The sequence below is a fragment of the Homo sapiens genome, chromosome 10 (assembly GCF_000001405.40).
Source record: "Homo sapiens chromosome 10, GRCh38.p14 Primary Assembly".
NCBI classification, from domain to species: domain Eukaryota; kingdom Metazoa; phylum Chordata; class Mammalia; order Primates; family Hominidae; genus Homo; species Homo sapiens.
In genome coordinates, this window is record NC_000010.11 from 119,911,272 (window position 1) to 119,936,528 (window position 25,257).

A 25,257-nucleotide genomic window follows, 5' to 3' on the forward strand; every position below is an offset into this window, starting at 1 on the left:
TTGTTTTTATTTTATTATTATTATTTTTTTTTTGTAGAGACAGGGTCTCTAACTTTGTTGCCCAGGCTGCTCTGGAACTCCTGAGCTCAAGCGGTCCTCCCATGTTGGCCTCTCAAAGTGTTAGGATTACAGGCATGAGCCACTGCACCGGGCCTGTCCTTGATTTCTTTTGTGTAAACCTGGAGTTTTATGTTAGCTTTTATTTTTGTTTAGTTTTTTTTTGAGACAGGATTTTGCTCTGTTGCCCAGGCTGAAGTGCAGTAGCACAAACACAGCTTATTGCAGCCTCGACCTCTTGGGCTCAAGCAATCCTTCTGCCTCGGCCTCCTGAGAAGCTGGTTCTGCAGGCATGCACTACCATGCCTGGCTAATTTTTAAGTTTTCTGTGGAGATGGGTCTCACCATATTGCTCAGGCTTGTCTTGAACGCCTGGGCTCAAGTGATCCTCCCACCTCAGCCTCCCAAAGTGCTGGGATTACAGGTGTGAGCCACCATACCTGGCCTATGTTATTAGCTTTTAAATCAAGGTGTAATACTTCTGATTTAATTGTATAATTTTCAACATAAGCATTGGAAAGGTATCGATTTGCTTAATTTTGGTGGTTAATGAACACTAGCAAGACTCCTTCAAAGTTTGTTTTGGGGGAACAGTACTAATAATTTATAAACTCTCCGTACTCTGAGGTATAGCTTATTATGTGTTAAACTACTTAGCCTGTAGTGGAAAAGAATTTGTTAATGAGCTTTGTCATAATTCTGTTGCATCTTGAAGGTTATTGTTCAGTTCCAGCCCTCCTCAGTGCCAGATGAATGGGGCACCACGCAAGATGGACAGACAAGGCCCAGGGTTGTAAAGCGTGGAATTGATGATAACCTTGATGAAATTCCCGACGGTGTGTATAGTTTGTTTAGAACTGAGGTCTGTTTTAGTCCTCTCCATTTTAGCATCATTCTTTAGAATGATGAAGAAATAAACAGTTATTAGAATGCCCTGCCACAGCAGCCATTGCACCACCACTCCCAGCTAATATTTCTATTTTTTGTAGAGATGAAGTTTTGCCATGTTGCCCAGACTTTTCTCGAACTCCTGAGCTCAAGCTATTTGCCTGCCTCGGCCTCCCAGAGTGCTGGAATTACAGGCGTGAGCCACTGTGCCTGGCCATATCTTTCTTTTTGATTTTATTACTTTTGTATCTTTATTTTTTAATTGATACATATTAATGGGGTACACCTGATATTTTGATAAATGCATAGAATGTGTAATGATGAAATTGAAGTAAGTATTATGTCTATCACCTCAAACATTCATCATTTCTTTGTGTTGGGAACATTTCAGATCTTTTCTCCTAGGTATTTTTCTTTTTCTTTTTCTTTTTTTTTTTTTTTTCAGACAGGGTCTCACTCTGTTGGCCAGGCTGGAGTACAGTGGCGTGATCTCAGCTCATTACAACCTCCGCCTCCCAGGTTCATGCGATTCTCTTGCCTCAGCCTCCCGAGTAGCTGGGATTACAGGCGTGCACCACCACGCCCGGCTAATTTTTGTATTTTTAGTAGAGATGTGGTTTCACCACGTTGGCCAGGCTGGTCTCAAACTCCTGGCCTCAAGTCATCCACCTGCCTCAGCCTCCCAAAGTGCTGGGATTATAGGTGTGAGCCACCGCACCCTACCTCTCCTAGGTATTTTGAAATACACAATAAATTATTGTTAACTGTTGTCACCCTACTGTGCTATCGAACAGTAGAAGTTATTCCTTCAACATACCTGTATGTTTGTACCCATTAATTGACCCCTTTTTATCTTCACTTCCCCCCGACCCTTCCCAGGCTCTGGTAGCCATCATTCTGCCCTTACCTCCATGAGATAAACTTCTTTAGTTCCTACATATGAGTGAGGACATACAGATATCTTTATCTTTAAATTTGGAATTCTGTTAAAATACACATACCACATAGTATAGATTCTAAAATATGTTTTGTTGTGTGGAGAAGCACTTTGCTGGTTGGAACTAAGGTTTGGCAACACTTTTAGGCTTGTGGTTTTACACCTCACTGGTTTGTATTCCTCTGGTGCGGGGATTGCAGACTTTTTCTGTAAAGGGCCAGATAGCAGATAGGCTTTGCAGGCCACATGGACTCTGTTACAAACTACTCAGCTTTGCTATTGTTGTGTGAAATCAGCTGAAGACTGTATGTAAACAAATGAGCATATCCGTTTTCCATAAAGCTTTTTTTTTTTTTGAATGGAGTCTCACTCTGTTGCCCAGGCTAGAGTGCAGTGGCGTGATCTGGGGCTCACTGCAACCTGCACCCGCTGGGTTCAAGCAATTCTTGTGTCTCAGCCTCCCGAGTAGCTGGGATTACAGGCGCCCACCACCACGCCCGGCTAATTTTTGTATTTTTAGTGGAGACAGCGTTTTGCCATGTTGGCCAGGCTGGTTTTGAACTCCTGACATCAAGTGATCCACGTGCCTCGGCCTCCTAAAGTTCTGGAATTACAGGCGTGAGCCACCACACCCGGCCCACAAAACTTTATGTTATTTTTATGTTTTTCCTTGAATGGTTTCCCCTTCGTCAAAAACTTTATTTATAAAAGCAGGTGGCTGGGCCTGGTGGCTCACGCCTGTAATCCCAGCATTTTGGGAGGCCGAGGCAAGTGGATCACCTGAGGTCAGGAGTTCGAGACCAGCCTGGCCAACTTGGTGAAACCCTGTCTCTACTAAAAAAATACATATATAAAAATTAACTGGGCGTGGTGGTGGGTGCCTGTAATCCCAGCTACTCAGGAAGCTGAAGCAAGAGAATTGCTTGAACCCGGGAGGCGGAGGTTGCAGTGAGCCGAGATGGCGCCATTGCACTCTATCCCGGGCGACAAGAGTGAAACTCCATCTCCAAAACAAAACAAAACAAAACAACAGGTAGGATGTGGGTAGGATTTGGCCTGTGGGCCATTGTTTGCCATTGCCTGCTTTGGTGTATGTGCTTTGGTTTCTTCTGTACTATTACTTAAGAATGGATTTTATTTTTACAATTACATACACTTCATGTTTATTGAAGTGTATGTAAAATGTTTCAATAAAATGTATGTTTCTTGTAAAATAAATACTCACACGATGAAATCTGAGTAATCTCCACTGGGGCTTAGTGTCCTGGGGAGTTCTGAAGCATCACAAGGTTGTGGAGCCTCCATAGATACAAACCTGCTGCTCATCATGTGCTATTAGCTTCCAGGAACAGAGAGAGCCTGCTGCCTCCACCTCTTGTTCTAGTTCGCTTTTATATGCCAAGAGGGACAAATTGTTCCTCTAATTTGATAGGGGTAATGAGGCTTATTCTCTTTGAAGGGTCATGAATTTCTTTGGCAAGTTTGTGATGACGAAAGGGATATCTAGAATATTGCCATTAGGAAAATCCAAACAAATTCCCATCTTTTATGTAGGTTTAAAAATTTTTTTTGATAGGGGAGATGCCTCAAGTTGACCATTTGGTGTTTGTGGTGCATGGCATTGGACCTGTGTGTGACTTACGCTTTAGGAGCATTATTGAGTGTGGTAAGTGTTGGGTATATTGTATTTCATGGGATGATCTGAGAACTAATAGAAGAGCTTTGGAGTATTCATTTTTAGGATAGTTCCCAGCTGTGTACTACTTGCTGAGGAGTCTGTAAGAGGAAATTTAAATGGTCAGTGGGAAATACTAAGTTGTACTTGATTTGCTCTTGTGACATATGTGACGCATACAATCCCAGACTGTGAGGAATTAGAAGGGATCTTGGAAGTAGTTTAGCCTTGTTGACAGCCTTTGCCTGAGCACCTGCAGCAGCTAGGAGCACCTCTGCATTGAATGGATTTATAGTCAGTGAGTTGGGAGAAGTTGTTTAATGGAAACATGAATCTGCCTGGTTGACTTAAATTTTTGAAGTTTTATTTTTATGTCCATGTAATAATAGTTCGTATTTATTGAATATTTGGTATATGCCAAGTATCTTAGATGCCTTGTCATTTGACCCTCACAAATAAACCTTTGGGGTATAGGCGCTGTCACTGTTATCGCCACTACTGTGACTAATGAGGAACTGAGGCCTGGGATAGTGGGGGTTGGGGGTGAAGAGGTAAGGTAGGGGTTGGGGGTAAGTGAAACTCTCCCTTATCACAGTCAGTAGGGCCTGGAGCCTGGAGCCGGCAGTGTGATTCCAGAGCCTTTCCCCAAGGTGCCACGCTACCTCCCAGCAGTGGTGGTTAAACTGATATATCCCAAGCATCTATTCCTTTGCAATAATGGAAAGTTTAAAAGAGGTTCCCAAAAGTTACTTATTCCTTTCTTTTTAAAAAATTTTACTAATTCTCTTATCCTCATTTTTTTCTTTAAAAAATGTATCTTTATGTTATTAAAAATACTGGCATATTTGAGGTAACTGCTGACTAGCTATCAAGCTAGGAGAATTTAATTTATTTTCTCTTTTTTTTTTTTCTTTTGAAGTGGATGATTTTAGGGTGGTTTCTCTCAAATTGCTGCGGACACATTTCAAGAAATCTTTAGATGACGGGAAAGTAAGCAGAGTGGAGTTCCTTCCAGTTCATTGGCATAGTTCTTTGGGTGGGGACGCCACAGGTGTGGACAGGTTTGTGGATTTTGATAACTTGTTTTTCAGATTAGTCATATTTAAATTTAAGATTTAAACCGTAATATGAAATAGTTTATTGTAGCTTCAATCAATATGTTTTTAAAAATTGTATACTTCTGACATATAATTAAATATTGGCTGTAAAGTTTACACACTACTTTTCTCTCTGTGTGTGTGCATTCCTTTTGTAAATATTTAAGAGAATCTTAAGAAATTTTAGCTGGTTTTAAAATACAATTTTAATCTGTAGCAGTTTAGACAGGGGGCTGTCCTTTATGTAGTAGGATGCCTAATGGGCTTTCCACCCCAACAAAAATGTCTCCAGAAATTGCCAGATGTCCCCTGGAGGGTAAAAATCACCCCTGGCTGAGAACCACAGATTCAGAATATTGTTTCTCAGTGGAGATGCTCTTGTCAGGACAATTCTTTGCTGTCGCAGTGCAGACCACTTAACTTCCTTAGTGTAAAGGCCACTCAGTACTAGCAGTGCTCACCAGGCACTGTGACAATTAAAAATACTCTGCTCAATTTTGAATGCTCCCAATTGAGAATCATAAATACAGGTAATAGTTATGCTGGCACATGTCTAGATTTTAGTGAACACCGTAATGTTTCAGGGTACATAGTTTAATAAAACTATTTCTACAAACAGCGTTTTGTCTATGTTAGGCCCTATTGTAAGGGTGTTTTCTTTCTCTGTGTGTATTCCTAAACTTCATTTTGGTCATTCTCAAATTAGGGAAGATTTTTCATTCCATGTAGCCCTGTTTTTTCTGTTTGATATTCTCTTTAGTCCTTTTGACCCACAAGTTTTGTCAGGTGTCCAGATTTGCAGTTAACTGGAAGAAAAATGGAAGAGTAATCTTCCCTCTTTAAAAATAAAATAGAAATCTTTGCATATGACTTATATAGCAACTAACTCTTCAGAGAATCCCAAAATTCATAGTATAGTTATAGGCACAAATAACTTTAAAAAAAAAACTGAATTGTTTTTGAGACAGCATCTCACTGTCACCCAGGCTCTGGAGTGCGCTGGCATGATCATGGCTCACTGTAGACTTGGCCTCCTGGGCTCAAGTGATCCTCCCACCTCAGTCTCCCAAGTAGCTGGGACTATAGGTGCAAGCCGCCATGCCTGGCTAATTTTTAAATTTTCTGTAGAGATGGGGTCTCACTGTGTTGCTCAAGCTGGTCTTGATCTCCCGGGCTCAAGCGGTCCTCCTGCCCTAGCCTCTCAAAGTGCTAGGATCACAGGCATGAGCCACCACATGTGGCAGCACAAATTTTTTTGGTTTACCTTTATTTATACTTTTAATTTTTTTTTTGATGTGGAGTCTCGCTCTGTCACCCAGGCTGGAGTGTGGTGGCACAATCTCGGCTCACTGCAACCTCCACCTCCTGGGTTCAAGCGATTCTCATGCCTCAACCTCCCAAATAGCTGGGTGTACAGGTGTGTGCCATGACTTGTGGCTAACTTTTGATTTAAATTTTTTTTTTTTTTTTTGAGGTGGAATCTTGCTCTGTCGCCCAGACTGGAATGCAGTGGTGCAGTCTCAGCTCACTGCAACCTCTGCCTTTCAGGTTCAAGCAGTTCTCCTGCCTCACCCTCCTGAGTAGCTGGGATTACAGGTGTACACCACCACACTCGGCTAATTTGTGTATTTTTAGTAAAGACGGGGTTTCGCCATGTTGGCCTGGTTGGTCTTGAACTCCTGACCTCAAGTGATCCACCCACTTCAGCCTCCCAAAGTGCTGGGATTACAGGTGTGAGCCACCGCATCTGGCCTATCTTGATTTATTTATAATGACTATCTACAGAAACAACTCATAGTCTGTGGGGTTTTCTTAGTGTATTTTCAGGAGTCAAAAATCTAAACTTTAAAAAAATCTGTAAATTTAAGGTAGATGCTGACTGAATGTGCTGTATTTTTCTTTTTAAACAGGAATATTAAGAAAATCACTTTGCCAAGTATTGGTCGATTTCGTCACTTTACCAATGAAACTTTGCTAGATATTTTATTTTATAACAGCCCCACCTACTGTCAGACAATTGTGGAAAAAGTAGGAATGGAGATAAACCATCTGCATGCACTCTTTATGAGTCGGAACCCAGACTTCAAAGGAGGTGTCTCTGTTGCTGGTCACAGTTTAGGTAAAACTGTCAAATATTCACATTTTAAATACAATTTTTGTTGAGTCATAACTGCTTTCAGTGTAGGTGATATTGTTAGTGCAAAATTAAGAATTACAGATTTTAAGTTTCAGAAAAGGTAGAAATGAATGCTCTGAGTTTAGATTCTGCCTTTTCTATATTCACCTCTAGTATTACCTAGGGAATGCTATGTATTTTACTTTATTCTGCTGTTTGATAAAATAATTAATTATCAGGTCTTGAATAACATGTAACTTCTGTATGACTTTTGACTATAGACAGTGAAAAAAGAATTAGTGTTATAAAAGTACCTACTACATTATAAGGCAAAATGTTTCTTTTTCATAGGTTCTTTAATATTGTTTGACATCCTGTCTAATCAAAAAGATTTGAATTTATCAAAGTGCCCTGGACCTCTTGCTGTTGCTAATGGAGTTGTGAAGCAGCTACATTTTCAGGAAAAGCAGGTACGTCTGTACGTGGCCAATTAACATTTCGATTTAGAGTCTATGGAGCTGAACAATTTTCAAAAGTCTGAACTGTTTCTTGAAACTTTTGTTTGTTTGTTTGTTTGTTTGTTTGTTTTAACTGAGCCTCATTGGTTGCTTGGGCTAGTCTTGAGTTCCCTCCTGGCCTCAAGCGATCCTCCTGCCTTGGCTTCCCAAAGTGCTGGCATCAATAACTCTTCAGAGAATCCCCAAATTCAGAGTACAGTTATAGGCCCAAATATAATAGCTTCCGTGTCCAGCCCTGAAACTGGTTTTACATATTAAAGTACACCGAGGTTTAGAAATGGAATGGAATCATATAGCTCATTATTTGAGTTTCTCACTCTTCTTCTTTATGGGTTATAAATTTAAATGTGAAAGTTTGTGATTTTTAAAAATGTAAATTATAGGAAATGGAGACTTGAGTGATTTATTAAATTTATATACTTTTCAGAATATTCAATTTTTTTTTTTTTTTGAGGCGGAGTTTCACTTTTGTCACCCAGGTTAGAGTGCAATGGTGTGATCTCGGCTCACTGCAACCTCCGCCTTTCGGTTTCAAGCGATTCTCCTGCCTCAGCCTCCCGAGTAGTTGGGATTACAGGCGCCTGCCACCAAGCTGAGCTAATTTTTGTGTTTTTAGTAGAGACAGGGTTTCATCATGTTGGCCAGGCTGGTCTTCAACTCCTGACCTCAGGTGATGCACCTGCCTCAGCCTCCCAAAGTGCTGGGATTACAGGCGTGAGCCACTGGGCCTGGCCAGAATATTCAAACTTTGAATGGCAAAGTACTGTGCCTAAAATTATGATTTCTGTGTAAAGCAAAATTGTTTGAGAGTTTTCGTAGATCAGCAGTCATTATATGGGAGTTTTTCTGAGCTTGTAATGTTTTTCATACTTTTTTTTTTAAAGATGCCTGAAGAGCCAAAGCTGACTTTGGATGAGTCGTATGACCTTGTTGTTGAAAATAAAGAAGTCCTAACTTTGCAAGAAACTCTGGAAGCACTTAGCCTCTCTGAATATTTTAGCACTTTTGAAAAGGAAAAGATTGATATGGAGTCCCTGGTACTGATCATAGTTTGCTTCATTTTGTTTGAAATTGTTTTTCTTGTGTAGATTGAAAATTAAGAATAAACATTTTCGTATCAAAATACACTCCAGAGTAGACAAAGACTGAAATGTTTTAAAAAATTGAAAAACACAGAAGAATATTTTTTTATAATCTGAAAGGCTTTTCTGAGTATGATGCAAAATCCAGAAGCCATCAAAGAAAAAAATTGTATAACAGTAGACACCATAAACAACATCTAAAGGCCAGTGATACATTTGCAACACACATTATAGACAGAGGGCTTACTTCATTGATTTTCAAAGCTTCTACAAATCAGTTACAGAAAGACCATCACATCAGTGTGATATGTAAATAGGCAAAGAATATAAACATGATTTACAGAAAAGGAAATAACAAATGGTGTCTTCGCATATGAAAACTCATAAGAGAAATGGAAATTGAAAGTACAATGGGATTTTTTTTAACTTACCAGTTTGAAAAAATAGGAAGTTTGAAAATATGCTATGTGGCCAGGGTGAAGGGAACTAGGCATTGTTATATATTGTTGGTCAGACTGTAAAATATTACAAACTCTTTGGAAGGCAGTTTGGCAATATCTTTAAGAATATAAAAATTACCCTTTGCTTCATCAGTTTCATTGCCAGGAATATTTCCTATAGAGAAATATTCAAACAAGAATTATCTACAAGGATACTCACAGCAGTGTTTGCAAGGTAACAAAACATTAGAGACACCATTGGTGTTGAGGAGTAGGGTGCTAGTGAAATCATTTATGGTGCATCCGCATAACGGAGTACCCTACAGCTGTTGAATGAATGATGCAGTGTCAGAGATACCCGTCTCTAAGGTACATTTACATGAAGAGAGCAGAGTTCATTACTGTGTGCATAGTAGAGCACACACACAGAGAAAAACATGTAAGTGCTATGCATACATAAGACATCGCTTCAAAGAGAGCAAGTTTCCACAGTTGCGCTGAGAGGAGAATTCTATGTTTGGGACAGCAGTGGGAGGAAGATATTTCATCGTATGCTTGACTATAGCTTTGGAATTTTGTATACCATATGTGTATTTTCTGTTAATTAATAGAATGATTTAGGTGTGGAAGCCTAAGATTTTATAGCCTAAACTGATGCATGATTTAAATACAAAATAACTAACTTGTAAAAAGTTGAGTGGCTCTTAGATTGCTTTAGATGATGTGGTTTCTTTATAATTTTCATATTCTCATTTCAGTTCTTCTATCACTAGATTGATTAATGTGCTTGTCTGTTTCCTTTTAAAGCTTATGTGTACAGTTGATGACCTGAAGGAAATGGGGATACCCCTTGGACCCAGAAAGAAGATAGCTAACTTTGTAGAACATAAAGCAGCCAAACTGGTAAAGTTCACCTCTGACTCAAGAAAAACTAAAACTCATGGTGTGACCAGCTCGTTTATATTATAGAAAATTTTAATACTACTATGGTTAGGTAAGCTAGTTTGCTCCCTACCTAGGGCACAGTAATGGAGCTGATGGAAACCCAGACTTAGGAGTCAGAGTTGGGCTTAAGTCCACATTAGGCTAAGTGACCATCCTGGTTTTCCTGGGACTAAGTTCCTAGGATGAAGGGCTTTCAGTTTTAAAATGGATATTTAAGGTTTTCCTGGTGCAAACAGTGGTTAAGTTCTGACAAATAAATTCTCAGCTCAACTGCTCATTAACTGCGTATTAATGAGCAATTTGTATTTGGTTTTATTCATTTGTTTATTTTGAGATGGGATCTTGCTGTGTTTCCCACTGCTGGTCTCAAACTCCTGGGCTCAAGCTATCCTCCCGCCTCAGCCTTCTGATCATGAGTGATTTTCTTAATTTTTCTGATCCTTTGTTTTCTTCATTTCTAAAATGGAATAATACCTTCCTTACAGGATTGGAGTAAGCATGAAATAATGCATGCAAAGCTTAGCACCAAGTAATAGCTCACTTTCTTCCCAGTCCTTACCATCTAAAGAGATGAGGAAAAACATACACACTGAAGTCTTAAACACTAAACAGCAAAAATTGTTAACAATACAAAACAAGGCAACAGCTAAAAAGCATTTAAAACTAGAACAACTGGAAAATATACTTGTTTTATTAATTTTAATTTATTGATCAAATTAATTTTACAGAGGTTTTCTAATTAGAAAAATTAGATGACTCTTAGGGTGGCCGTCTTATTTGTATTGTTATTAACATGCTCTTTGATGATCCTTCCATCTTTTGAATTTCTATGGTTCTATTATTTTACTACCTGTTTGGAACTTAACCTACATCATTTCTTTATATGGGAAATGACTATAAAGTCATAGGACTGATTTTTTTTTTAATGGTTAGCTTAAGGAATTGAGTCTTCTCAGCATTTTATTGAATAGCAGCTACCTCTTTTGAGTCAGGCACTGTGTTCAATTCTTGGGAGCCGGAGATTAACCAAGAGTGTGCTGTCTAGTTGCGGGGAGCACGTTGAGCTCAAATGACAACATACCAGCCCCATAATAGCGTGCTGTGTGTGCTGTCCTGAGGCAGATGAGAGGTGGCAGTTCTGGCTTGTTGAGACAAGCATGGGGTTGGTGAGAGAAGACTTCTCCAAGGTGATGGTGCTTGAGCTTGAAGGAGGGGTAAGGTCAGGGGAGATGGCCTTCTGGAATCTGGCATGTGTTTTCCTGTAGCATCAGGGAAGCTGGAAACTGGGAAGGGCAGAGGGTTCCAAAGGCCCAGGTGGCAGGTGTGGAGGCTTGGATTTTCTCTTGTAAGGGAGTGGTTTTCAAACATGTTCTTATGGCCATGAAAGTCATGGTGTTTTTAAACATTACAAAATGCTGACCTGCTTATTCTATCACAAGTTATGATTTAGCACCAAATCATCTGTGTAGTCTAAATTTTAATTTTAACTTTTGGACTGTGGAGAGTTTGCTTGGTCACAGTGCACAGATGAAGTTGGAAAGGCGTGAAGTGGAGGCGGCTGCAATCTTACATAGTAGTAATTGTAATTGTACAGTGACTGAAAGAGAGATGATAGGGGTATAAGGTAGGAGGTGGAGAGGAAGGGAGCAACTCAAAAGACATTTTAGACATAGACAAGCAGTATTTGATTAAGTGCTGAGAAAGGTTATTAGTTTTGGCAGTTAAGAGGTATCTTTCATGTCATTTTTCTTGTGTGTTGAATCGTTCTGTAATTCCAATTTACAAAGAGCTTTTCATCTCACCTGAGCCTCACAACAACCCTGTGAGTAGATCCCCAGGCTTTTGTCTCTGATGAGCACAATAGTCAAACTGAGACTAGGACACAAGCATGTCAGTGTTGTTTCTGTATACAGGCTGCGTGCTCCATACAGAAAAATGCTTGTCTCCGTGTATACATCAGTGAAGCAAAAGCCTATAAAAAAAAAAACAAAAAAAACAAGAAATGAGAAGCTTTGTGTTCAGGCCCTACACCATGTTCTTAATTTATTCTGTAATGAAAGGGAAAAAAGTAGAAAAGGATTCTATAGTTCTTGAAGAATTTCTAGAAGGAGACTGGTTTATGGACTGCAGTTGCTTAGATATATAAATTATGGCATTATAAGAATGTTTTGAAATGAGCAAAAATCTATAGAGTGATCTTATTTTTTAAATTAAAAGGTAATTGCCTTTGGATGAACCATGAAACTTTCTCAGCTGAGTTGCCATTGATTGCTTTACACTTCTTACAGATAACAAGGTGCTACTAGATCAATACAAAAGTAATATGGTGTGTCCTGTTGATTTACTGTAACTGAAATAATGGGACCAAAATTAGCGATTATTTTATAACAAGGAGATCAAATATTTGTGATATTTGTGACTGTGTGCTTTTTTTTTCTTTTTAAAGCATCTTAGTAATTTTCATTTGAAAAGGAATTGTTTCTAGTGTTGGGGATATTGATAGTCAAGTATGTATATGTTGGTTCCGTTTTTTTTTTTTTGAAAGGGAGTCTTGCTTTGTCTCCCAGGCTGGAGTGCAGTGGCACGATCTCGGCTCACTGCAACCTCTGCCTCCCAGGTTCAAGCCATTCTCCTGCTTCAGCCTCCCAACTAGCTGGGATTATAGGCGTCTGCCACCACACCCAGCTAATTTTTGTATTTTTAGTAGAGATGGGGTTTCACCATGTTGGTCAGGCTGGTCTCAATCTCCTGACCTCAGGTGATCCACCTGCCTTGCCCTCCCAAAGTGCTGGGATTACAGGAGTGAGCCACCACGCCCAGCCTATGTTGGTTCACTTTTAAACACTGTTGGTTCACAGTTTAAAAAGTATTGCAAATTTAACAAAGCAACTCTTGGCAACAGGACAGTTTCTGATCTCCTTAGACAGCTCTCAGCAATTTAGAATGTTTTATGAATTTAACAGGAGGTACTTCTGAGTGAGAAAGCAGATTTAAAGTGAGGAACCCTGAAAATGTTCCTTATTTCGGATTTTAGGCTTAATTTTGTGTTGCCTCCGAAGGGCAGAGATAACCAAGCCTTCTAAAACATTAACGGTGGAAACAGTTACAAGCTGGCTAAGAGTTTTCTTTTTTATAGATTGCCTTTTCAATTAACCAGTTACTTACTTTCCTGATTTCCTGGTGTTTGGAATTAAATAATAAGATCATTTTGGCCAGCTGTGGTTGTTTAGGCACTGTCGATAGCTGTTTAAATCGAGACTAACACTTAGCCATTCACAGCCTAACAAGTCCCCCTCCCACCCAACTGTTTAAATTTCTCTGATGTTATTGTTGCTGCTGTATTCAAGGCAAATTAGAAAACCAGTGTGAATGGCTTTTCTCTCGTTATAGAGATAACACCTTTTTTTTTTTTGAGACGGAGTCCCGCTCTGTTGCTCAGGCTGGAATGCAGTGGCGGATCTCGACTCACTGCAACCTCCGCCTCCCAGGTTCAAGCAATTCTCTTGCCTCAGTCTCCTGAGTAGCTGGATTACAGGCGCGCGCCACCATGCCCGGGTAATTTTTTTTGTATTTTTAGTAGAGACGGGGTTTTGCCATGCTGGTCTCAAATTCCTGACCTCAGATGATTCGCCCGCCTCGGCCTCCCAAAGTGCTGGGATTACAAGCGTCAGCCACTGGGCCCAGCTGAGATAACACCTTTTATATAGATGCCCCAAAACTTTTGTTTATTTATGGAAACGCATAGATCTTTTAAAAAATTATATTTTTTGAGACAGGATCTCACTCTGTCACTCAGGCTGGAGTGCAGTGGCGCACGCATGGCTCACTGCAGCCTCCACCTCCTGGGTTCAAGCAATCCTCCCACCTCATCCTCCCAAGTAGCTGGGACTTCAGGCATGCACCACCATGCCCAGCTAATTTTTCTGTTTTTTTAGAGATGGTGTCTTGCCATGTTGCTCAGGTTGGTCTTGAACCCCTGAGCTCAAGAGATCCACCCACCTCAGCCTTCCAAAGTGCTGGGATTACAGGCATGAGCCACTGTGCTGAAATGCATAGATCTTCAGTGTGCAGTAGGGTGAGTTTTCACGATTGTATGCACTTGTGTCGTCACTGCCTAAAACAAGAAATTGAACATTTCTGAGTTCATTTCTATGTTCTGTGTTCATTTCTGTTTCATGAGAGAGCTCAGGTAGCTCCCTCATGCTTCTTTCTAGTTAACTCCTCCTACCACAAAACCACTCTTCTGATTTCCTTCAATATGGAATAGTTCGCCTATTTTAAAAATTCATCTAAGTAGCATGAACAGTATGTATTCTTTTATACCTGGTTTCTTTTACTCAGTATTTTTGAGATTCGTCTAATGAGAGCCAATACTTCTGCTTAGTTGTAACTGTCTTGCTATACTTTCTTTGCTTCTTAATTATTTTTCTTAAGAATTTTAAACTATAGACATCATGACATTTGTTCCCTAAATATTTAGTATGCATTTCTAAAAAGGACATGTAAACATTTTTTTTAATTTAAAAATTTTTTTGAGACAGGTCTCTCTCTGTTGCCCAGGGTGGAGTGCAGTGGTACGATCACAGATCACTGCAGCCTTGACCTTCTAGGCTCAAGTGATCCTCCCACCCTAGCCTCCTGAGTAGCTGGGACCACAGGTGTGCACTACCAGGCCTGGCTAATTTTTTCTTTTTTCTAGAGATGGAGGTCTCACTATGTTGCCCAGGTTGGTCTTGAACTCCTGGTCTCGAGCTATCCTTCCACCTTGGTCTCCCAAAGTGCTGAGATTACTGGGGTGAGCCACTGTGCCTGACCTGGACATTTTTTTAAATTAGCTGAAGCAAAAGCTGCAGAGAATAAAAAGGCATTTTTTAAAGTAATCACAATGTTGTTACTATTCCTAAGAAGTAGCTAATCATTCCTTAATACTGAGATAGCATGTTTTGTAATGATAGCTGAGAGCTGAACTTTTTCTCATGATTATGTTACTAAATTTTGGTATTTTACAGAAAAAAGCAGCGTCAGAAAAGAAGGCAGTGGCGGCCACTTCTACAAAAGGACAAGAGCAAAGTGCCCAGAAGACTAAAGACATGGCTTCCCTCCCCTCAGAATCCAATGAGCCAAAGAGGAAACTTCCAGTTGGTGCTTGCGTGTCTTCTGTGTGTGTGAATTATGAATCTTTTGAAGTTGGCGCCGGACAGGTGAGTTTACATATTGACTGGGGCTACATAGTTCATGTTGGAATCATAATCTTTATCATTTGGGTTGGCTTTAAGTTCTTTAAATATTTATTTAACATTTATTTGTGATGTGGAAAAAACTGATTTTCTCTTAGTGAAAATTTTTTTCTTCTTCAACAGTGCTCACAATAAGGGATTAAATGCATACAGAACGTGTTGTCTAACTTTTGAAATTGTCTCTATTTCAGTTTTCCCACCGCTCATACTTTTATAGCATCAGTCTCTTATAGCCACTAACAACAGAAGTGGCCATAGTTAAGAAATTATGTTCAGAATATACTTCAGTTTCTGTGAGAGCAACTTGGCTGTATTCACTCAACTTATGTTTCCTAGTACTCATAATTCTTCCCTTGGGGAAAAAGTCTTATAAAAATTGACCAATGCTGCATTTAATGATATACTTTAACATACTTGTATCACAGTGGCTTTTAGAATTATTAAAATCCTTTTAGACAGTGTTACTGTCAGGATATTTACAGTTGGGTATATAAAGATGCATTTCCATAAGTAAGTTCATGAAGGTACAAAATGAAATTGGATGTTTGATTTGTATTAAAAATGAAGTTTTAGAGGAATATATTCTTATGTAAGTAAATGTTCCTTTACAACTTCATTTTCTTTTCTTTTTTCCCTTTTTGGAGACAGAGTCTTGCTCTGTTGCACAGGCTGGAGTGCAGTGATGCAATCATAGCCCATTGTAACCTCAAAACAAGGGTTTAGGGTTTGGGTTTAAGGGATACCTCCTACCTCAGCCTCCCAGGTAGCTGGGAGTGTAGCCCTGCACCACCACACCTGGCTAATTTTTTCATTTTTTGTAGAGACAGTCTTGCTGTGTTGCTCAGGTTAGCCTCGAACTCCTGGCCTCAAGCAGTCTTCCTGACTTGGCTTCGCAAAGTGCCAGGATTACAGGCATGAGCTACTGCATCGGGCCTCCAGCTGCATTTTTAATGACTGCCGTAATCAGTAATGACTAATTTCACTGTTTGGAGAGATAATGACTTATTCTTATTTCCTTATTATTGAAGGTATTAGTTTCTTAAGGCTGCCATAACAAAGTTCCACAACCTGGGTGGCCTTGAACAGTAGAAATTTGTTGCCACACAGTTCTGCAGAGCAGAAGAGATAGGGTGGTGGTGGGACTATTTTCTCTCTGAAACTTGGAGGGGAATCCTTTCGTGTTTCTTCGAGCTGCTAGGGATTTGCTGGCCATCTTTGGCAGTTATAGGTTTATAGATGCATCCCTCCAGGCTTCTTTTCTATGTCATATTCTCCTTATCTCTTAATATCATCTTCCCTCTGTGAGTGTCTGTCAGTGTGTCCAAATTTCCCCTTTTTATGTATCAGTCAGATTAGGGCCACCACAGTGATCTCATTTTAACTTGATTACCTTTTTAAATACCCTATTTCCAAATAAAGTCACATTATGAGGTATTAGGGGTTAGGACTTCAACATAAATGTTTTGTGAGGACACAATTCAACCCATCATATTAAACATGTAGGCAATTTCTACTTTTTACTCTTTTAAGTAGTCTAGTGATGAACATTTTAAAGCCAGTTTTCTGTGCACATTTTTTATTATTTCTTCCAGTTAAGTTGGTAGACATAGGGTAGCTGGGCCAAAGGATGGACACAGTCCCTTCGCTGGGAGAGACATCAATCTGTATTCTCACTGGCAGTTTAGAAGGTTGCCTGTTTCCTCTGTCCATTGCCAGTACTGGTATTATCATTTTCCTTTAAAAATATGTAGTAGTTTCACTTTGACAACGCTATTGTAAAGAATTAATTTTTTGTGTGTATTTTCATACAGTTTTTTTCTTTCTTGTTAGTACTTCTTACTTTTTAGTATTTCATTTACGTTTCTGATAACCCCATAGGGAAAATGGTATCACACTGTATTTCTTTGAGCACTAGTGAGGTTATTTTCTCATATGTTTTTTAAACATTTTTCTTTTGTGAAGTGTTGAATTTACCTGTTTTTCTATTTGGTTTCTTTTTTCCTTTACTGACATTTATAAAATATTTACATATTAAGGTTATTAGCTCCTTGTCATGTATGTTATAAATATTTCTTCCAGTTTGTAATTGTTCTTTAACTTTCTTTTTCTTCTTTTTGTTTGCTGGAACAAAACTGTCGAATTTGCAAATATAAGGGCAAGCCTAGGAATGTGAAGTCTAGACTTTGTTAGAAGGGGCAGCTTAGTGTAGTAGAAAGAGAATTGGATTTGGAATTAGAAGTCCCACATCTAAGTCAGCACTCCATCACTCACTGGCTCTGTGTTCTTGGGTTAAGTCATGTCACATATTTGAGCTTTGCCATAGGCATAATGGTTCTTGCCTTGCCTCCCTCTTTCTATGGACCTCTGTTGAACACTTGGATTATGCCATTCATTGTGCTTCACTCTCAAGATACTAAAATAAAAAGACACATTTCCTGCTACTGAGAAACAAATGAAAGAGCTTTGCAAATTGTACAGTGCTATTCAGATGACAGTGCTTTCTCTTGAGAGAGGCTACATGTAAGCTACTCAAAATGTGCTCTTTCAGGACAAATCATTTTTCTGATGGAAAGAAACTTAACTGGAGAGGATGATAGTTATAATAGTAACAGAAGTAATGCTCATTGAGTGCTTAAGCTGTGCCGAGCTCGTGCTAAGCACTTTATGTGGATTAGGTTATTTATTTTTCAATCACATGTGAGCTTGGCATTGTTATAATCCCCATTTTATAAATCAGGAAACTGAGGTGGAGGAGAGAGAGGTTAAGAAACTTGCCCAAGGTCACACAGTGAATGAAACCATGATTCAGACCCAGGCAGTTTGAGTTTAGAAGTCTAAAGTTTTAACCATATTTATAACCATAATAAATATAGTAATTCTTATATACTATTATGCCGTGCAAAACAATATGTAAAAGTATAGCCAGAGGATATAATAGTCTATAAAGATTTTAAAGAGAAATTTTTTAGTACTTTTTTTTTATTTTTTGAGATGGAGTCTTGCTCAGTCACCCAGGCTGGAGTGCGGTGGTGTGATCTTGGCTCACTGCAACCTCCACCTCCCGGGTTCAAGCGATTCTTCTGCCTTAGCCTCCCAAGTAGCTGGAACTACAGGCGCATGCCACCATGCCTGGCTAATTGTTTTATATTTTTAGTAGAGACAGGGTTTCACTGTGTTAGCCAGGATGGTCTCGATCTCCTGATCTCGTGATCCGCCCACCTTGGCCTCCCAAAGTGCTGGGATTACAGGCATGAGCCACCACGCCCGGCCTGAAAATTCAAAAGAATTTTCTACTAGGTGACATTGGAACAATCATCTTTCATTGTTATTTGATTCTTTCCAGGTTTCTGTTGCTTACAACTCATTAGATTTTGAACCAGAGATATTCTTTGCCTTGGGGTCTCCAATTGCTATGTTTCTCACTATTCGAGGAGTTGATAGGATAGATGAGAATTACAGCCTTCCTACCTGTAAAGGGTTCTTCAATATTTATCATCCGGTGAGTAATTGAATTTACTTTGTTTTTTAAAATCCTTTTTTCTTTTTTAAACATTTTTTACTTTTTTATAGAGATGGGGTCTTACTATGTGGACCACACTGGTCTCAAACTCCTGGCCTCAAGTGATCCTTCCATCACAGCCTCCCAAATCGCTAGGATTATAGGCGTGAGCCACTGTGCCTGACCTTTTACTTTCTTTTTTGAAGAAGATGAAGAACCTGTCCTCTTTATCCTAGTAAATTCTCATATTCTTATTTCTTGGGAATTAATACCTATCTTGATTTTATAAGGTTCAGCTTTCTGTTCTAAGAGGTATAGTCTGACACTTTCCAATAAACTTATCAAAAGCCTTTGTTCAGGGAAATAATTCTTTTGCTTTGCTTGCAAAGTAATCTTACACACAAACTAGAAAATCTTTTCATAATTGTCAGTATTTGAATAAGGTGTGGAGAAAAATAAAAATCTCTGATTTGCCATGTATCCATTTTCTTACCCAGCGAAGGCATATAACTCAAAACAGCTTTCATAAATTTCTTTTATTTATTCATAAATTCTTCTATTTATAGCTTGATCCAGTGGCATATAGATTAGAACCTATGATTGTTCCAGATTTGGACCTAAAAGCTGTTCTCATTCCACATCACAAAGGCAGAAAAAGACTTCATTTAGGTAAAAAGCAAATACTATAAAAACTTTTTTTCCTGTCATTTGTAATCTGTAATGAATTATGAAAATTTTGACACTAAATCGTCTCTGAGAGAATTAATATTATTTAAGTGCCTACTATGTTCAGAACTTTTAAACTAAGAATTTGGAAGAGCTTTAACAAAATTACAAATGAATTATTTCTCTTTGATGGCATTCTAATTGTCAAGGTAATTAGGAATAGGGAGAAGTTGGTAATAAGGCAATAAGATGCATAATTAGATTTTGATAGAGTTTGGTTACAAGTTTTGGAATTAGGAAGAAGAACAGTATTTAAAGTAATGAACAGACCATCAAGAAATAAACTTGATGTTGTCGAAGTGAGCTGTTATTTTCTTGCTAACTAGACACACCTTCCTGTTAAAAAAATTCATTAAACATAATGGATTGGTGATTCCAAGTTGAATTTAGGTTTCTCTTCTTCCTGTTAATGGTGTGTATTAACGCTACATTTAAAAGTTTGGGTGGAAGGGATGGGAGGGGTAGAAGAGAAGGAAAAGTGATTACGCACTCTTATGTGAAAGTGTGTTTTTTGTTTGTTTTGCTAACATGCTTTTTAAAAATATTGAACTCTTTTGAAGTTAAAATAAGGCATGCGTTTGATAACTCAGAGACCTTGAATTCACATGTGATTATTAGACAACAGTAGAAAAAGTGAAGGAGCAGGGATTTCTTCATTTCTAAATTGGAGTTTAAATTGTGGTTTTATCAGAATGTTTAATTCTCCACTTGAACCTGGGAGGCGAAGGTGGCAGTGAGCCAAGATCGTGCTACTGCACTCCAGTCTCCGAGAGACTCCGTCTCAAAAAAAAAAAAAAAAAAGAATCCTCAAAACCACTTCCTGTTTACAGATTAGAAAAACAGTGATTTTTAAATCTCGTAGGCCTCTTTTTATTTTTATTTTTTATTTTAAATAGAGACAGGGTCTCACTATGTTGCCCAGGCTGGTCTTGAACTCCAGGCCTCAAATGATTCTCTCTTCTTGACCTCCCAAAGTTTTGGGATTACTGGCATGAGCTACTGTGTCTGGCCCCTATGTTTAAACTTACAGTAAAAACAAACAAAAAAGGCATAAGAATGTGCTTACATTTTTTTTTTTTTTTGAGTCGGAGTCTTGCTCTGTTGCCCAGGCTGGAGTGCAGTGGCACAATCTTGGCTCACTGCAAGCTCTGCCTCCCGGGTTCATGCCATTCTCCTGCCTCAGCCTCCTGAGTAGCTGGGACTACAGGCGCCTGCCACCACGCCCGGCTAATTTTTTGTATTTTTAGTAGAGACGGGGTTTCACCGTGTTAGCCAGGATGGTCTCGATCTCCTGACCTCGTGATCCACCCACGTCGGCCTCCCAAAGTGCTGGGATTACAGGTGTGAGACACCGCGCCTGAATGTGCTTACGTTTTTATGGTATTTGAACTTCTTTTATTTGGAGAGAGAAAATTTATAGATTTTTGCTGGATCAAGTTTAGTCATTAAAAAAAAAAGCAATAAGACTATCCATGACATTTTAACATGCTGAGGGTTCTTGGCTGAGGCACTCCGTATATTTGACATTGAAAAGAGGAAGAAACAGTCTTATCCTGTCTGAGAAGAGTGTTAACTTACAATTTTTGTGAGGCAGAAGTTTACCCAGTGACTAATTAACTTGTTGTGTCATCTTAATCTCTTTAGAATTGAAAGAGAGTCTCTCTCGTATGGGATCTGATTTGAAGCAGGGTTTTATTAGCTCTCTCAAAAGTGCTTGGCAGACATTAAATGAGTTTGCCCGTGCTCATACGTCTTCAACCCAGTTGCAAGAAGAATTGGAGAAGGTGGCCAATCAGATCAAAGAAGAAGAAGAAAAGCAAGTAGTTGAAGGTAAATTTGACATTTGAGGCATTTTCTAATACAAATGTTTCATATGAACATAATACTTAAAAGTTATATGATGATGCATTTCCTTTCTAGACTTTTTGGTTAAATTATAGAAGCTCTTTAAAGGAAAATCTGTTAAGATAAACTGTACTGTCAATAGCATTACTTCAAAATCCATGCCATCTTTTTTTAGTGGGTTTTTATCTGATAGTTACTGAACTTTTTCCTCTGCAATTTAAAAATTATATTGAGATTCTTAAGGCCAGAGTGGAATATCCGAGTTGAGAACTCAATTTGTTTTAGGGTTTGCATTTTAAAGACTCAATCTGAGAGGTTTTCTTCCTGAAACTGTTGTTTAACTATGTTACAGACTTGACATGCAATGTGAAGGTCATCGTGCTGTGATGTTTTTGACTTCTTCAGATTCTAATCCTGTTTCCTTTCTTTCTACAATGCTTTCTCACCCCTTATCTTCACAACTTCTCTCAGCTTGTTGGCTCTTTTCTCCTCTCTCTCGGGTAACCAGCCCCTCTTCCCCTGGCTCTTTGGAGGAACGGGGAGTGAGCCTGGTAGCTCCTCAGGTTGCTACATGCGTCAAGCAGTATTCTCATTGAGCCCAGAAAGTCAGCTAAAGTCAAAGGATAAAGATTAAGTGATTGACTTTGATATTGAAATGGTTTAAATTCTAGCAGAAAAGGTTGTTGAAAGTCCAGATTTTTCCAAGGATGAGGACTACTTAGGAAAGGTTGGAATGTTAAATGGAGGCCGCCGAATTGACTACGTTCTCCAAGAAAAACCAATAGAGAGTTTTAATGAATACCTTTTCGCTCTTCAGAGTCACTTATGCTATTGGTAAGTGTTCTTAAATTTGGTAACATTTGAGTGGGCTTTTGGTGCTAGCACGTGCAGCAATTTTAGTTTTAGTGAGATTCTTTTACTGATACAATGTACTATGAATATTCATTTGAATTACTATATGTTCAGAATCGTTATTTTTCCCCCTTAGTTACCCACAAGATGGCAGTATGTCATCTGCTTTTGACCAAAGACCCTTGGTTCTTGCACACTGTTTTTGTGGGAATGCCTTTCACAGTGGGAGTGGTAGGGACTTTGAAATGCCATTCTTTCCTGTATCCCTGTCACCAAGGAGAATTGCAACACAGCTATTTTGGAGCTAATCAGTATTCATCTAGTTTTTAAGGACAGCTCTGAGATTACGCTGCTTTATTTATTACACTGAGATTACATTGCTATCATTTGCCCTTCTTAGATAGAGTTGAATAGAATAGAACCTGCATTTTCAACCATTGTGCATAGAAGTTAATTTCTTCTAATTGTCTCTTAAGTAAATATGCTTTTCCTTTTCATAGGGAATCTGAAGATACTGCTCTGTTACTACTTAAAGAAATTTATCGAACAATGAACATTAGTCCAGAACAGCCCCAGCATTGATCAAACTTCAGTTTTACTGTGTGAGTTTATCCTTATTGAATGTATAAATTCTGAATGTTTGCATTCTCAAATCTGTTGTATGGAGTTGATGTTGACTGATTTTGCTTTTTTCTGTTTCCTCTGAGTTTTTGTCGTCGTTTTTAAAAATTTGCAATAGAGACATTAAGGAAGATAATTGGTTTGTAATTTACATTTCTGATTTATTACAGTCTTCTTTCTAAATTTACATAGAATTTGAGTTATTTTTAGTTTCTTTTTAAAATAGATTCCCAAGAATATCAGTTAGGAATTCCTTTGGTTGCAGGTTCACAGAACCCAGTTTACAATACATTAAACAAATAGAGGTTTATTTTTCTTCCGTAACAAGAAGGGTTCTTCTGTTGAGTGACTCCACCAGATACCCAGAGTGCTTGCCTCTTCCCACCTGAATGTTGGCTCTTGCTGCCTCATAGTTATAAGGTGCCCCCATGGTTGCAGATACCATATCTACATTCACAACATGAATAAGAGGGGAGAGGGTAGTACTCCTCACATCTGTCGCTCTTAATTAGGGAAGCAGAAGCTTGTCCAAAAATTTACTCATACCTATTGACTAGGCCTGTGTCTAATGTCCAATATCTCCAGTCTGTATGAAAGATTGTAGAAGTAATGTTTTGAGCATTCCCAATCTTTATAGAGGGAAAGAATAGAGAAGGAGGTTAAGTCTGTGATGGGTCAGCTGACGTGCAGCTCAGCCACACTCTGTATTCCTAACTGTCCTCCTGAGACACCAGATACCTGGTTTTCCTCACTAGATTATGCATTACTTTTAAAAACAAGTAATGTGTTTTTTACAAAGTTAGAAATTTTAAAGGCTTTGAAAGAATCAGACACAAAATGCTGAGCTCTAAATTACTGAAATCAAAGGAAGTTCCTGCCATTTTTGGTTTTCTAATAGTAAGTGGTAAATGAACATTCCCTTCAGCCTCATCTTCTACCTCCTCGTTTTAGAGAGGTAAGTACTTTTAGTAGGGCTTCCTTAGAGAAAGTTTTTTGGCTCCATTTCCAAAATTAAACTTGTAACAAAGTAAAAGAAAACTAAAGTGTAGGCCAGGCATGGTGTCTCACACCTCTAATCTCATCACTTTGGGAGGCCAAGGCGGGCAGATCACCTGAGGTTAGGAGTTCGAGACCAGCCTGGCCAACATAGTGAAACCCCGTCTGTACTAAAAATACAAAAATTAGTCGGGTGTGGTGGCGGGTGCCTGTAGTTGGGAAATGCAAGGCCAGAAGTGAAAGATGGCTTTCCCATAACTCATCCCCAACCTCCCTGCCTAGAGGCAGCCAGTGTTCCACGTTTTGTGTATCCTTCCAGATATCTGTTAACACATCACACACACTTTTAAGTTTTTCTTTTTTAAAAGACAAAAGAGGCTGGGTGTAGTGGCTCACGCCTGTAATCCCAGCACTTTGGGAGGCCGAGGCAGGTGGATTACTTGAGGTTAGGAGTTCAAGACTAGCCTGGCTAACATGGTGAAACCCTGTCTCTACTAAAAATACAAAAATTAGCCGGGCATGGTAGTAGGTGCCTGTAATCCCAGCAACTCAGGAGGCTGAGGCAGGAGAATCTCTTGAACCCAGGAGTTGGAGGTTGCAGTGAGCTGAGATTGCGCCACTGCACTCCGGCCTGGATGACAGAGTGAGACTCTATCTAAAAAAAAAAAGACAAATGATAGCAAAATTGACACACCGTTATTACCTTTGTGTCTTTGAGATTGTCCCATATCTATCTATCCATCCATTCATCCATCTGTCCGCCCATCCGTCCATTCATCCATCCGTCCAGTATCTGTTGAGCACCTTACTTAAGTGCCAGGTATTATTTTAGGTATTGGGTTTCACAGCAGTGGACCAAAGCCTCTGCCCTCAAGGACCTTTTTTCCTCTAATGGAAGGCAGACAGCACGTGGACAGTTGAAATGAACCACATGGTAAAGACTGAGCAGCTGGACAAGGAGGAGAGGAATTCATTTGGGATGGGTTCAAGTTATTAATGTATATAAGATGGCAAGGGACCCCCTTCACGGGTAAAGTAAAGTGTCATTTGAGCAAGCGAGCCAGGTGGATATCTGGAGGAAGAAGACCACTTCAGGTGGAGAGAAGAATCTGGATCAGAACATGAGAGTGACCTCGTTCTTTTTAGGTATTCCATTGACTATTGCACCATAATCTGTTTAAGCAGTCCCTACTGATGGGCATTGAAGTTATTCTAATCTTTTATTAGTATGAACAGTACTACAGTGATACGTGATATTTTAATAGTTGCATTTCATTCCATTTTATAGTTCTTTTATTAAAATACTTTATTTTACCCCATTGTTGGGTGTTAGATGATTTTCCAAATTTTCTCCATTATAAATAACTCTGATATGTAGTTTTACACACTTTTTGCCAATCTCTGTTTGCTTTGGATACATTCTTAGAAGCAGTGTTCTTATTTCTGAGAATATTGCATATTTTGAAAAGATTTTTGGCTGGGTGCGGTGGCTCATGCCTGTAATCCCAGTTTGAGAGGCCGAGGCGGGCAGATCACTTGAGGTCAGGAGTTCGAGACCAGCCTGGCCAACATAGTGAAACCCCGTCTCTACTAAAAATACAGAAAAATTAGCAGGGTGTGATCTCACCTACTTGGGAGGCCGAGGCAGGAGGATCTCTTAAAACCTGGGAGGTGGAGGTTGCAGTGAGCTGAGATTCCACCACTGCACTCCAGCCTGGGCAACAGC

General features: G+C 39.2%; 1 protein-coding gene across 6 annotated transcripts in view, besides 2 other annotated features; it reads left to right on the plus strand.

Moving 5' to 3' along the window:
- SEC23IP (SEC23 interacting protein) overlaps positions 1-25,257 on the plus strand; it is a 51,928-nt gene that overhangs the window by 18,542 nt on the left and 8,129 nt on the right. For 3 of the 6 annotated variants that reach the window (NR_037771.2, XR_246061.3, NM_007190.4), the window contains 13 exons: positions 773-893; positions 3,459-3,548; positions 4,477-4,618; positions 6,565-6,773; positions 7,122-7,240; positions 8,173-8,325; positions 9,618-9,713; positions 14,765-14,956; positions 18,336-18,491; positions 19,058-19,160; positions 20,862-21,047; positions 21,734-21,896; positions 22,415-22,516. Coding sequence is in view for 3 of the 6 variants with exons in the window: in NM_007190.4 (NP_009121.1) it covers positions 773-893; positions 3,459-3,548; positions 4,477-4,618; positions 6,565-6,773; positions 7,122-7,240; positions 8,173-8,325; positions 9,618-9,713; positions 14,765-14,956; positions 18,336-18,491; positions 19,058-19,160; positions 20,862-21,047; positions 21,734-21,896; positions 22,415-22,496 (1,812 nt within the window). In the remaining 3 variants the exon portion in view is untranslated. Of the gene's footprint in view, positions 1-772; positions 894-3,458; positions 3,549-4,476; positions 4,619-6,564; positions 6,774-7,121; positions 7,241-8,172; positions 8,326-9,617; positions 9,714-14,764; positions 14,957-18,335; positions 18,492-19,057; positions 19,161-20,861; positions 21,048-21,733; positions 21,897-22,414; positions 22,568-25,257 lie in introns of those variants that run through there. The other 3 variants (XR_007061940.1, NM_001411070.1, XM_047424537.1) reach the window with 2 other exon arrangements.
- Positions 10,554-10,723: an enhancer, noted in NCBI's record as "experimental_10320 CRE fragment used in MPRA reporter constructs". NCBI's record gives its function as "activates a minimal promoter by MPRAs in K562 erythroleukemia cells, with activity observed for the non-introgressed 10:121681422 variant allele {active_cell/tissue: K562}" and the evidence as "EXISTENCE:reporter gene assay evidence [ECO:0000049][PMID:34662402]".
- Positions 22,796-22,965: an enhancer, noted in NCBI's record as "experimental_10351 CRE fragment used in MPRA reporter constructs". NCBI's record gives its function as "activates a minimal promoter by MPRAs in K562 erythroleukemia cells, with activity observed for both the introgressed and non-introgressed 10:121693664 variant alleles {active_cell/tissue: K562}" and the evidence as "EXISTENCE:reporter gene assay evidence [ECO:0000049][PMID:34662402]".